Here is a 14,294-nt window from a genome sequence, read left to right on the forward strand (position 1 = left end):
TTTTTAAAACTTTAAAATTTTATTAAAATAATCTATGATAGGAGATGATTTTAATAAATGGAAAGACATTCCACAGTCTTGGATGGGATAACTTATTAAGTTGTTAAAATTTTCCAGATTAATCAATAGATTAAGTGTCATGATAATCCCATTTTAGTTGGATTTTTTTGAGGCGCTTAATAAACTTACTTTAAAATTTATTTCGAGAATTAATAAACGTTTTTGAAAGCTAAATCAACTTTTAAAAAGAATAGTAAAGAGCAGAACTTGTCTATTATATAATAAGACATCTTTTGGCCAGGCATGGTGGCTCACGCCTGTAATCCCAGCACTTTGGGAGGCCGAGGCAGGTGGATCACCTGAGGTCAGGAGTTCAAGACCAGCCTGGCCAACATGGTGAAACCCCGTCTCTACTAAAAATACAAAAAATTAGCTGGGCATGGTGGCAGGCACCTGTAATCCCAGCTATTTGGGAGGCTGAGGCAGGAGAATTGCTTGAACCCAGGAGGCAGAGGTTGCAGTGAGCTGAGATCATGCCACTAAACTCCAGCCTGGGTGACAGAGCAAGACTCCGTCTCAAAAAAAAAAAAAAAAAAAAAGACATATTTTAAAGCCGTAGTTATGAAAGCAATTTGGTAAAGAGGAATTGACAATGGAATGGAGAAGAGAGCTCAGAACATACCCATGTGTATCCAGTGATCTAACACATGAGAGAAGGGTCACTACACATCAGTGGCAAAGAACAATATAAATATAAATACATGAAAATTAAGGATTTCTCTTCAACAAAAGACATCATGAAGAGAGTAAATAGATAATGGCCAAAAGGGGAGAAAATATTTGCAATATCTAAAATTGGCAAGGGATGTATACTCTATGTGGACTACAAATCAAGAAGAAAACAACAACCACAATATAGAAAAATGGATAGAGGGTATAAATGGGTAATTTCAGAAGAGGAAACAGAAAAGTAACAAGCATATTATGAGACGCTCAAAATCATTGGTAACCCATCAAATCCAAATTAACAGAATGAGATACGACTTTGCATCTATTAAACTTGAAAAATAAAAGTGATGGGAAATACTTGGCAGAGATGTGGGGTGTTGGCGGGGTGTAGAAGGATGTAGATGTTCCAGAGCGTAGTGTGGAGCTACGTAGTAAATTAAATATATGCATAGTGTATAACCTTCAAATTCTCTGGTAAACATCCTAGGGAAATTCCCGCACAGTCCACAAGAGCTGTCCAAGGGCTGTTTGCGCTGGCGAGGAGTTAAAGGCGACCTGGATGTTCATCACTGGGAGAGCAGATAAAGAAAATGTGGCAGTTGCACACTGTCGAGTATCGCCCAGAAGCTGGAAGCCAGGATCAGATGCATGCATAGCACCACACAGCTACATCTTAAAAAACGTAGTGTTTACTCAAAAACATTAGGGAATAACGAAATACATAACATAAAAGCAGGTATGTAAATTTAAAATGCATGCACATAAAACAACAATGTATCTTTTTCAAAGCATATTCCTAAGAGGAAACAAAATGACAATCAAGAGAGGGGTGCTTGCATGAAACAGTGTGACTATGTGGCATGAACTGAGGAGGAGGATTAACTCAACCCTCTGCACCTGAGGCAGCAACAACTTATGTTAACATAATAACATAATAGTTAACATAATAACAAAGTAAGTTATTAACTTAGTTTCTACAAGTTAGATTAAAAACTAGCTCTAAATTCAAGTCTAGAGATCTTTGTTAAAGTTTCCAACCTATTTCTTGCAAGACATTTAAAAACATACTTCCAGTTGGATGCGGTGGCTCACGCTTGTAATCCCAGCACTTTGGGAGACTGAGGCAGGCAGATCACTTGAGGCCAGGAGTTCGAGACCAACCTGGCCAACATGGCGAAACCCCATCTCTACTAAAAATACAAAATTAGCCAGGCATGGTGGCAGCCCTCTGTAATCCCAGCTACTCGCGAGGCTGAGGCAGGAGAATTGCTTGAACCCGGGAGGCAGAGGTTGCAGTGAGCCGAGGTCGTGCCACCGCACTCCAGCCTCGGTGACAGAGCAAAACCCTGTCTCAAAAAAAAATTAATTAAAAAAATAAAAACATATTTCTGGATACAACAGCATAGATTCATAGTCCAGCCGGTTACATGACGATTCCAAAGCCCCTTCTTATGTGAGCATGAAAGGACCTCGATGGTCCTTTCTTAAGTAAGATGAGATGAGAGATGGGGACATAGTCCAAAGAAGTTGATGCTTTCAGCCTTTCCTGCTTATCAGGCACCATGATAAGGCTGTTTGCTGTCATCTTCACAGTGAGAGGTAGGTATCATACACCCACTTTGCAGAAGAGGCAACTAAAGCTCAGAGCAATTCAGTGACTTGCCCAAAATCTGCCAGCCCACTGTGCTCTCTCCAGCACACCATTCTGAAAGGTATCAAAAAGTAGAGGGGCCCAGGTTCATTTTGAGTCTATGCACTGCATAGCTGTGAAGTACCAGAGGGCCGTGTTGCAGCTATCAGCCGGGACAGCAGGAAGCCCAGCGGCAGCGCTTTGCCGTTGCCTTCCTGGAAGGACAGGTGGAGGCTCACCTGCACCATTTCCCATGAAGTACTTGCTAATTTCATCTGGCTGTGCAGCACCATGTGCTGGGCTACCTTGCATTGCCCTCTGGCTTGCTCTAGCTGTTCCCTCAGACTTCTTTTAACAGTGCCCATGTCTTCCTCAGTGGGTGTGCTCTCTCTTCATGGCAAAATCCTCAAGGTCAGGGCTACAAATGGGACTCCTCCTGTACAACCCCAGACAGGCAGCCCATACAAGCACAAAGGAGATGCCTACCTATTAATTATGTCCTTACTGAATTGAAATGCAATGCTTCTATCCATCACATTAGTTTGGTAGACCTTTGGATTTGAAAGTGATTTGTTTATAAGAATCGGCTAGTGAAAAATGTTAAACCATAATTTTTAAAAGTGCTGGGCCTCATAGCAGTCTACCTACAGGTGATTCACCACAGCATTCCTGGTAAATGTGGGCAAAGTGAACACGCATTACGAGCAAAACAGTCTGGGCTGGCCATCGAAAGGCTTAGAATCCTACAGCCAAGAGGGATTTTAAGAGACCTCATCCCTTGGCTCCTGACAGCACCAAGACTGTGATGAAGGGCATGTGCCTTAGTGTCAAGGTGGCCCTAGGTTCAAACCCCAGCTTGGCCTGGTGGGACCTTAGGCAAGATCTTAAGCTCTTCAGACTTAGTTTCTTCATCTGCAAAATGGGAATGATAATACATTCCTCATAGGATTGCTGTGAGGATTCATTGCAATTGTGAATGGACAGGGTCTAATAGAGTAGCTGGAACACAGTAAGTGCTCAGTAATGCTCTCTATATATGTTGTTAAAATTACAAATAAATATCTCCAAGAATGGAGCCTCACTTAGCAGTATAATGAACATCCATCCCAGCAAGATAGAAATAAACATGATAATCTCTGCTTAAATGGTCAGAGACCACAGTGACTTACCCAGGTTCAAGGCTGAGTACACAGAAGAAAAATCACTTGCAGTTCATCTTTCATTCATTCACACTTTGAAATGTTTAGCCTATATAGAAAATATATCCTGTATGTTAAATTTCCCTAGCATTTTTCCCGAAGGATGCTTCTTAAAAGCAAGTTAGAATGGCATATTCATAGAGTTAGAAAGAAATGTTTGTAGAAGTTACACAAACAACCTTTTTTTAATTTGGGAAATCTTTTTATAAGCTTCTCTCCACTGCTACCACTGGCAAATAGTGAATCAGCTGTTTCCCCTGGAATTCCTGCTACAGGCAGCTCACAATGTGACAAGGCAGTCCTCACAAGTTACTGCCGCTCCATCACCATCAACATCTAAAATACGCAGGCAGTGAGCAAGACTCTAAGTCCCATAGAAGCTGAGCCCAGGTTACTGGTTCACTGCCATATGCCCAGAACCTAGCAGCACAGTGATTTGTGACCAAGCAGGTGATCAAGAGATATTTGTTGGATGGATGGATAGGTGGATGGATGGATGGATGGATGGATGGATGGATGGATGGATGCACGGACAGACGGATGGATGGACAGATGAATGGACAGATGGATTGATGGATGCATGGATGGATGGACAGATGGACAGATGGATGAATGATATGCCCTCTCTGGGTGCTATAGAATAAGTTAAACCTGTTTATTCTCCTTTCATACTATGGCTTAGAGAATACCCTGTCCATTCACAATTGCATTGAATCTAAAGTAAAGATTTGGGGATATTTTATGTGATGCAATTATAGAACTGTAACTATCCTAAGACCTGTAAACAATCCCAGGTTTGGGTGTCAGCAATAAAACTCTTTAAAGTGAATTACCCACTGATTACAGGGGTAGTTGTCAAGTGAAAACAGTCCATTGATTTTCAAATATTAACACTTACAGATGCCTGAGAGATAATTATTAAGAATTGCATTCAGTTCTTCTTTAATCTGTAACCACATATAAGCTACCATCTATTTTGAACTTAATACAAGGCCTAAGTCCTTAATAAAAATGTATGTAATTCTGAATTGATCACAAGGACAGACTTTTGACAGAACCTGCTCATATTTTTCAAAAATATGTGTCTACTCGTTGACAACATGGTCTCTTTCTCAAATTAGTCATTGGACTTACGAACTGTTGTATCTGAGAAGAACCAGATTATTAATAACTCAAGTTACATATATAAATTAGTGCATTCACTTTGATAAATAATAAATGAGGCAAGTCACCCTGCTCCGAACTGATCGTGCCATATCTTGCGTTGTTTTCTCTTTTGCAGAATTTCTTTTCATTTGCTGAAAGTTTTAAGTCATGCCCAATGACTGATTTATTGTTTTCTTCACAGGAGGAGGGGGGAAGCATTAGGTACCTGGTACCCAGCAAAAGCCCAACAAGCAAAGTTATCAGTGGAATTCCTCAATGTGACAAAGGGCTGGATGAGGGGTTCCTTGCTGGTACAACCAGGTCACAAGCCTAAGAAGGCTTGACGGGTGTGGCTGGCTCTCCCCCCACGGCCCTGCTCTGTTCCCGATCTGGGCTTTGCTGCCCTGGGCTGGGCTGCTTCTCCTGGCTCTCTGCAGGACCTCCAGGCTCCAGGAATTTGGACCGAGTGGTAGAGACATCGCCGGCAGAGACGGCAATCGCCAGCTTCCTCTCTGTGCTGTCTTGTGATTCAAAGCAGATTCTGCTCCACTTTTTTAAAAGGGGAGCACATGAATGCTGGAGACCCACAAGAACAGAGTCGAGCAAGGAAACGTGCAACAGTGATACAAAAGTCTGTGAGTACGTGGCTCATTCGAGGTGAGCCATGACAGGGATTTGTTCATGGGGAGCCCAGGGGCATCAAGGTCTGATTGCTGAGAGTGTTCTTGTGGGAGATGGGAGGTTATAAGAGCTGTGAGAACCCTGGGGCTTAAGAGTTTTGCAAATGACCCTGGGCTGGGACACACACACACACACATAGAAAGAAAGAGAGAGAGAGAGAGCCCTATGTACCAAGGTCATCCAAGCACTGCATTTGTACTTGGCTGTAGGGAGGAAGGGTTGGAAAAAAGAGAAGATGTTTTCTATCTTGGACCTTTACCTAAAATAGGCACCATCGTGCTCAGTGGCCTTGCTTGTAAACTTCTACAGGAGGGTGAGTTGGAGAGAGTGAGTGTGAGCGTGAGTAGCAGGGTGAGCTGCTCACTGGTGAGTCCAGGAAGTGACTCTGGACCTCTTCTTACATCAGTTTGGTATGATACCACAGTCAGACAACTTAACAAAAACTGCTGCTGGCTGGATGTGTGGCATGGTCGTTGAAAACATTTTTTTACTTTGCCTTTCTCTTCTTGCATTATTTTCTAGTTAATGATCTCTCTTCCTTGGAAGAGTACATTTCTGGGGTAGGAACTATCTTTGTGAAAATATTCTTTTTTAGAGACTAATTTGCATCACAAGAATTCTGATATTCGAGGTACAATTAGTTCATGTATCAATATTTTAATTCACATAGGTATTCTCAAAATTTTATATACCACTCATAGAAGACCAGGATTTGAGTCACAGCACTGTTTCTTTCCCCATACAAATGAGTCACTGGGCCTCAAAGGTTCAATCATCCTCTTTATAGATGAAATATAATAACAGATACTAGTGAGATTGTTGGGATGATTAACTGCAAATGTACAAAGTCCTTTTTAACATAGTAGATAATTATTTATTATTATTCCTGATAGACACAGCACAGCTATAAGCTGACTATATACCAAGAACAATGAGTAGGATTACCTCTTACATTTCTTTTCCCAACATAATGCTTTGCTTCTGATCTGACCAGGGCTTTGCTAAAGTCACACATCCAGTAAGTGGCCGAAGCAGATCTTCAGACCCACAGTTTGGCTGCCAAAGGACCACAGTGAGTATTTCTAATGCTGAAACAAGAGGGTGCAGCTCTGCAGCCCAGACGGCTGGGCCTCAGGGTAGGTAACCAAGACAGCTCAATGCATCTCTCCCTCAGCCGTCCCTAGCCCCTAAAAACAGAGCTGGGGGTCCCAGTCCTCTGTGGGACATGGCCCTCTTTCATCACCAGCTTCCAGCCTACCCTGCATCTCTTCCCTCTGAATTGCAGGAACCCTCCCAGCCTCCATGCCGCCTTTCCTGATCACCCTCTTCCTCTTTCACTCTTGCTGCCTCCGAGCAAATGGCCACCTCCGTGAAGGAATGACATTGCTGAAGACTGAGTTTGCACTTCACCTCTACCAGAGTGTGGCCGCGTGTAGAAATGAGACGAACTTTGTCATCTCTCCTGCTGGTGTGTCCCTCCCCCTGGAGATCCTGCAGTTTGGAGCAGAAGGGAGCACTGGTCAGCAGCTGGCAGATGCCCTGGGGTACACTGTCCATGGTAAGAGGCCTGCCCACGTGCACACTCACTTACCCTCCTGTTCACACTCACACTCTCTCCAGCTCACCCTCCTGCTCACACTCACACTCACTCTCTCCAGCTTACCCTGCTGCTCATACTCACACTCACTCTCTCCAGCTCACCCTGCTGCTCAGGCTACCTGGGAGATAGGGAGCTCAGCTCCCTATGGTGTGCACATGGGGAAGAGTGATCACTGGACAGGTCTGTGACAGAAGGCATTCAGACTTTGGGATGGTGGTGACCCTTGAATTTTAAGGTTCCCTTCTAACCTAATAGGTTTCATGGCAATGTTTCAGTTTCATTTGACACACCCTAGCATAGTGCCTTCCTAGGTGCCAGGCAGTGCTGGAGGCACTTACAAACATTAATTGAATTAATTGTCACAACAGCTCTGTTGAGGATGATAATTTTATTATCATCCCAATTTCAGAGATGAGCAAATAGGCATGGAGAGTTGAAGCAACTTGCTCAAGTTCACAGAGCCAATAAGTGACAGAGTTGGGACTCAAGCCCAGGCTGCCTGGTTTAAGAGCCCATGCTTTTGACCAACCTGCTTTTATAAATCTGTGACTTCTAGCCAGTGCCAGATCTGCCAGCTTATTTCTATGGATTATGTATTTTAGAGCGGCTTTGCCGGCAGCAGCATGAGTCTTTCGAATGCCAGGTCAGCTTCCCCTCTGCTTACGCTCAGTGCCTCAGCTCAATGCCTGGCCTCAGAACCAATCTACCAACTCCAGCTAAAACAGATACTCACACACATTAACATTTTTCTTCCTAGACTAGGATCTAGGAATTCAGCAAAGACAGAACAAAAAAAAAAAAAAAAAAAAAAGAGGCTATGAGCTCTGCGGCCTCACGTTCATTCAAAGTGGAATGAAGCTGTCCTAGGCAGGGTCATCCCGGCCTACCCATTCTTCACCCTGTGGGTGAGCAGGGCAGTAAAGCCCCACCACCTATACCTGGGTGACACTGAGCACCTTTGTTAATCTGTCTGGGCCTCTGCTCGCTCATATATAAAATGGGGATAATAATAGCCCTCAATTCACAGGACTGTCAAAAGCATTCAGTGTGATCAGGAGTGTTGAGTGTTTAGCACAATGTCTATGAACACAGTCAACCTCCGGCATTTTTTACCCTGTCATTGCATATTCTGGCAGGTCTAAAAATGTTCTTCCTGTGTGCAAATGTGCATGGACAAACTAGGCTAGGGCAGAGAAAAGATTTCACACAAAAATTCACTTCAAGCCAACTTACTCTACTATTTTAATGTTTCTGACTAAAAGAATGTGGGTCCCCTGGCCCAGAGAGGGTGGAAAGATGGAGAGGAGAGTTCTGTGACCATTCCTCAGGTCACACCACACTATGGACAAGGGAAGTGTTTCAATTCTTCTCTGCAGACAGTCAACATTCCTAGGAATGTGATCTCAGAAATACATGTGACCTTCCTCGATAGAGTAAAATCTGATTATAAGTATGTTTTTATCCATTTTTTTCTTACTACACTCAAATGCAAGCACTTAAGTTAGGCTGATTCATGAGATCAAGATTCTGAGTCAGTCTTTTGCAATTGTGGATTCTCAGGAGCAGCTTCGGTAGTGAACATATTGTGGACAAGTGATGTCTGCCTACTATTGTCCTCTGCAGCCTCGTTTGGCTGGGGACCCTGGCCAGGGTGGACTCTGGGTTCCCGTGCCTCCAGAGAACATTAGCCAGGAAACTCAGGGGTCTGCTGCTGCCTCCTGGCTTGGCTTCTGCAACATGAAGGGTGTCAGAGGGGACAGACCCCAAGTGAGTGAGAGTTTCATCCCAGTGAAAACCAGCCGGAGCCAGGTAGTGGAGGAAAAGATACCCAGCATTTTGTCTTACAGGGAGGGTTTGTAGATAACTGCAGGGCTGTGCCTAAAAGGGAGTAGAAGCAGCCTAAGCAAGGGGGCTTCACTTCTGGAAACACTCAGCTTGCATGTGTCAGGAATGAGAAGCTTGGGGTACGCCACTGTGTCTGGACTCACCAGTGGGCAAGAGCCCTCGTTCCAGCTATGGGATGCCTGGGGGAGGACAGAAGCTGCAGCTTGTGAATAATAACATGAAAACAAAATCCACTATTGATCATGGAAAGAAGGAAGCAATCTCCTGTATAAACAGTAAATAAATAGAAGTCCAGCTGCCATCCACGAAGGTGGAAGCTATCGACTCCCTCAAATGCTTATTATTTCCTTGACATTCTTGCAGCCTTTCACTGACATTAATAACACAAGCTGTCTGCTGGGTCTTAGGGAAACGGGGGATGGGAGGAGTTCTTACTTTTCCTCTGTATTTCTCAAATTGAAAGCATAGTTCTACACAAGGCTGAATCCAAATGTTACTCAGGCTCATGACACGCAGTTGTGGGAATGGATTTAAAGCCCCGTACAAGACATATTGACAGCACAACATCCTGGCCACCTCCCATCATTGTCACTGTAACATTGCACATAAATCTCCTGATGTGTTTGAAACCCCATCACCCTGCACCCTGGACCTGCTGTTTTCCCAGCCCTAGAATCTCTACTCCAACACACATCAACCTTCCTAAAGCAGAAAATTAAGGAAGAATATCCTCTATTCATCTACTGGATGTTGGTAGTGTTTTTCTATTTGACTTCATTGCAGCTTGATTTCTTTCATATCTAGCATGGTTTCTTCCCAACTTTTAATTGGTGGATCCAGGCTGATTTCTGAGCACATTAGCTATGACTTTTTCAAACTGGCTTTGTATGGTAGATGAACCTTATGAGCAAGAGTGGAGTTGCTGGCGTTCCATCTCAATGCAATGTGTGCTGGAGGTTGTGCTAACTCCTTACTCACACTCACCATTGTCAACTTATCCCAACTTGTTTTTCACAGACAAAAGGGTGAAAGATTTCTTGCATGCTGTTTATGCCACACTACCCACCTCCAGCCAAGGCACCGAGATGGAGCTGGCCTGCAGCCTTTTTGTGCAAGTGGGAACGCCACTGTCCCCCTGCTTTGTGGAGCACGTCTCCTGGTGGGCTAACAGCAGCCTGGAACCAGCCGACCTCAGTGAGCCCAATAGCACCGCCATCCAGACTAGCGAAGGGGCCTCCAGAGAGACTGCAGGTAAAAGAAAACTGTACATTTCAACAAGGCTAAGGCAGAGGGCTGCAGAGACAGAGTCTCACCCATCACTTGTCAGAGGCCATGGTGCTCAGGCCACCTTCAATTACAGCAGAAGTCTGTCCTCTTAGGAGATCCTACCCTTGAATGACAAGGGGACACTAAGTCCCTTTCTGCCTCTCTTCCTGCTCTGACCCTCTCCCACACAAATATACACATGGGCACACACACACACACACGAGCCACAAGAGCACACAAGAACACAGAATTGTGCTCTTCAGAGCCTCCCACCTCGGAGGACCCCACAGGCTTTCTCCCATGCAACTGTCCCCCGACTGAGCTCTGCTCTCATTTATAATAAACCACCTGTGATGGCAAAGTGCAACAGGAGCCAAAAAAAGTGGTTTCCTGGGAATTTAGGTTAAGGAAATAATTTAAGAAAAAGTTACACACAATAAGATGTTTAGCTCAGTGTTATTGAAGAAAGAGACTTACAAACAGCCTCGCTGCCCAGCAATGAGGTGTGAATCAGTGTAGCACAGCACCTGCATGTTATACAGTTGTAATTATTATGAAAGATAATTAAAATCATGAACGTTTACTGAGTGTTTAGTTTATTTAGTTAGCACTGCTCCCAGTTGATTGTCTCAGTTCACCCTCACAATAATCCTAAGGGGTAGGCGCTATTACTCTCCCCATTCTATAAATGGAGAAACTGAGGCACAGAAGGCTCAGCCTCCTGCCCAGGGTCCACAGGCCAGGATTCTAACCCAGGTGGTCCGGCTCCAGCATCCTTGATCATTTCAAAAGTTTCATAGCAATGTGGAGAACATTCAAGACCCAGTGTTGGTTAAAAAGCAAAATAGGATTGGGATGCCAAGGCGGGCAGATCACGAGGTCAGGAGTTTGAGACTAGCCTGGCCAACATGGTGAAACCCCGTCTCTACTAAAAATACAAAAAATTAGCCAGGCATGGTGGCATGTGCCTGTAATCCCAGCTACTCGGGGAGGCTGAGGCAGGAGAATCGCTTGAACCCAGGAGGCAGAGGTTGCAGTGAGCTGAGACTGCGTCACTGCACTCCAGCTTGGGCAACAGTGAGATTTCATCTCAAAAAAAAAAAAAAAAAAAAAAAAGCAGAATAGGAAGTGATATGTATACTACGACTGAATGGAAAACAGTAAGTGTGTGGACAAGGATGGCAGAATTAAATGCAAAAATTAACATCTTTTGTGATAAAGTTCTCTCTCATGCTCTTTTATTTTACCATGTCTTTTCAATTTACTTAAATATGTTTAATTCCCTGCTCACATCCTTGTGCTGCCAGGGCGTAAGGCCAGAGAAGCAGCTCCCAGTGCAGGCTGATTGTCCTCTAAGAAAAAGGGGCAGTTGGCTCAGTTGCTCAGAGCACAGAGTCCAGAGCCAGGCTGCTTGGGTTCAAATCCAAGCTTTCCATGGAGCTGCTAGGGTTCTATTTCAATGCAATCCACATTGCATTGGGTAACTGGGTGGATGGTGGCTTCACCCCTCATAAGTATGTGACCTTGCCCAACTTCTCTGAGCCTCAGTTCCCTCACCTGTGAAATAGGGAATAATAATAGAACTGTTAGGAGGAGTCGGTGAGGATTTGCTAAAGCACTTAGAACAGAGCCTATCACAAAGTGTGTGCATATTAAACAAATAAACAGCTGGGACAAAAACTATCCCCTTAAGGGTGGTCTGCCAGCTCCTCTTTCTGACACTGCATGAAATTTTAACTGCAGCCCTACAAAGACCATACCTTGAATATTGTTTTCTAAGCAAAGGCTCAGTGAGAGATTCAGCTCAGCAGCGGGGCAGGGTGGGGACTGGGGGCGACAATGTGCAGGATCTCCCATCACAGCACATACTCCTTCCAAGGGTCTGCCTGGGGAGGGAATGTCTAATAATTCCTAGGAAATGGCCCCAAACAGAACCAGGAGCAGCATCCCAACCTGTTCAGAAAAGAATAAAAAGCAGGGTCTTCAGCAACAGCTGGTTATAAACACATATCAATTTGCAATGAACATATTTTAATAAATACTCTACCAACCCAACTCCAGAGATGACTCACTGCCCCCACCTCCCCTGACTGGTCACCCAGGTGTCAGGACTTCTGAGTTCTCACTTTCCATTTCCCTCTCCACACCCTCATCCCCCAGCAGGGGTTGTCATTGTCGCCCCCATACCCAGCCCTACAGAGCCTCTGACTCTGGCCCTGTGAGGTTATCTTAAAGACTCTAGGTCTAGGATTTTTATAAAATGACCATATCGCTCAACAGTCCCCAAAAGTTGAGAGCAGCTCCTGGTGCCTTGGGTCCCTGACAGCACAAGGAGCTGAGACAGGGAATTAAATATTCTTAAGTAGACTAAAAAGATATTGTAAGATGAAGAGAGAGACCACCTTAAGCAAAAAGACCTGCATTTTCGCATTTTAACTCTGCACTCCTTGTCCGCACACACACTGGGTTCGGTTCAGTTTCAATGCACATTTAACCCATGGCCACCTTGCTTTCCTGCTTGCAGGTGGGGGCCCCAGTGAGGGCCCTGGTGGCTGGCCGTGGGAGCAAGTCAGTGCAGCATTTGCTCAGCTTGTGCTTGTGAGCACCATGTCCTTCCAAGGCACTTGGCGAAAGAGATTCTCCTCCACAGACACACAGATCCTGCCTTTCACCTGTGCCTATGGCCTCGTCCTTCAGGTCCCCATGATGCACCAAACGACCGAGGTCAACTACGGTGAGCTCTGCCCCTGCTGGTTTGTCTAAAGGGAGAGGAAGCCTGGGCCTGAGGGCAGGAGAGAGGAGGCCAGGTCCCTGCTCCTAAGGGATCGGGATGTGTTTCCGCAGGGTCCATCTGCTGGACTGGGCATGCATGGCGGAAGGAAAGACTAAGGTGCCCGGAGACTTTAGAGAGGAGTGTGGGACAGTGTGCTCTGACAGGACAGTGAGGACACAGATGTGGAAGAGAAACTCAGTTTCATGCCTGACATTTCCTTCTGCACTAGTAGAGTTTGGACCAAACTGCCACCCTGGCAGGCACAATAGGCCGGGATTGAATGGCTGCTCCTTTAAGATCGGGTACAGTAGTACCCTGTACCCTTATCCATGATTTTGCTTTTTTGAGGTTTCAGTTATCCGCATCAGAAAATATTAAATGGAAAATTTCACAAATAATTCTCAAGTTTTAAACTGCACGCCCTTCTGAATAGTGTGGTGAAATTTCCTGACGTCCTTCTCTGTTCCACCTGAGATATGAACCATCCCTTTGTCCAGCATCCCCAGGCTGTCTACAGTATGCCCGTTGGTCACTTAGTAGCCATCTCAGTCATCAGATCGAGAAAACATAGTATATGCAGGGCTCGTTACCATCCACAGGTTCAGGCCTCTACTGGGGTTCTTGGAGCATATCTGCCAAGGATAAGGGGGCACTACTCTATGTGGTTCTGCATGTGCCATCGTCCCCCCCCCCATACCCAGTCCTAGAGAACCTCTAACTCTGGTCCTGTGAGGGTATCTTAAAGACTCTAGGTCTAGGATTTTTATAAAATGACCATATCGCCCAACAGTCTTTGGCCTGAAACCGCCTCCTGAGGGTGAGGTGGATGCTCGGTTTTATTGTTTCCAGTCCTCTGAGCCAGCCTCTCTCAGGGTCCGACACTGGTTCATTCTCCTGGCTCCTGGGACAGAGCTGACCTCTGATCCACTGTACCCTCAGGTCAGTTCCAGGACACTGCAGGCCATCAGGTGGGGGTGCTGGAGCTTCCTTACCTGGGAAGTGCAGTGAGTCTGTTCCTGGTGCTGCCCCGTGACAAAGACACCCCCCTGAGCCACATCGAGCCACACCTCACAGCCAGCACCATCCACCTCTGGACCACCAGCCTGAGGAGAGCCAGGATGGATGTGTTCCTGCCCAGGTGAGCAGCTGAGTCCCCCTCACAGGTGCTGTGCAGCCAGCAGTCAGAAGAGCGTGGATTTGCACACAGGTGGTCTGCCTCCAGGGTCTGTGCTTAGCCACTGGGATGACTTGTTTAATATGTATCCCCAGAAGTTAGACCAAGAGGAAGTGACCCTAGAGTTTGAGTTCATTTCAGAGCCACTGCTGGCTAGCTCACAGCACAGACTGAAATGAACTAACTTCCCAGAGTCTTTCCAAGACAAGATATTCTGCCTTCACTGGGCTGGAATGGAGCCCCCCAGGACC

General features: G+C 45.4%; 2 protein-coding genes and 1 non-coding gene across 9 annotated transcripts in view; 1 reads left to right on the top strand and 2 right to left on the bottom strand.

The window, feature by feature from the left end:
- The window catches only part of INTS6 (integrator complex subunit 6), a 118,632-nt gene continuing 104,338 nt past the window's right edge, over nt 1-14,294 (bottom strand). The window contains exons 20-22 of one of the 4 annotated variants that reach the window (XR_007063673.1): nt 11,857-12,049; nt 10,574-10,623; nt 1-10,075 (exon numbers count right to left, since the gene is read on the bottom strand). The gene's annotated coding sequence lies outside the window, so the exon portion shown is untranslated. Of the gene's footprint in view, nt 12,050-14,294 lie in introns of all 4 variants that reach the window. The other 3 variants (XR_007063676.1, XR_007063675.1, XR_007063674.1) reach the window with 3 other exon arrangements.
- Nucleotides 5,287-14,294, top strand: part of SERPINE3 (serpin family E member 3) — a 25,045-nt gene continuing 16,037 nt past the window's right edge. For 2 of the 4 annotated variants that reach the window (NM_001386375.1, XM_047430544.1), the window contains exons 1-6: nt 5,287-5,339; nt 6,380-6,457; nt 6,671-6,943; nt 9,848-10,081; nt 12,621-12,830; nt 13,809-14,007. In NM_001386375.1, the coding sequence (NP_001373304.1) occupies nt 6,688-6,943; nt 9,848-10,081; nt 12,621-12,830; nt 13,809-14,007 (899 nt within the window). In that variant the 5' untranslated portion in view covers nt 5,287-5,339; nt 6,380-6,457; nt 6,671-6,687. Of the gene's footprint in view, nt 5,340-6,379; nt 6,944-9,847; nt 10,082-12,620; nt 12,831-13,808; nt 14,008-14,294 lie in introns of those variants that run through there. The other 2 variants (XM_047430545.1, NM_001101320.1) reach the window with 2 other exon arrangements.
- Nucleotides 14,163-14,235, bottom strand: MIR5693 (microRNA 5693). The gene has a single exon (NR_049878.1). It is a non-coding gene; the product is annotated as a microRNA 5693 (primary transcript).

Source organism: Homo sapiens, chromosome 13, assembly GCF_000001405.40.
Source record: "Homo sapiens chromosome 13, GRCh38.p14 Primary Assembly".
Classification (NCBI taxonomy): domain Eukaryota; kingdom Metazoa; phylum Chordata; class Mammalia; order Primates; family Hominidae; genus Homo; species Homo sapiens.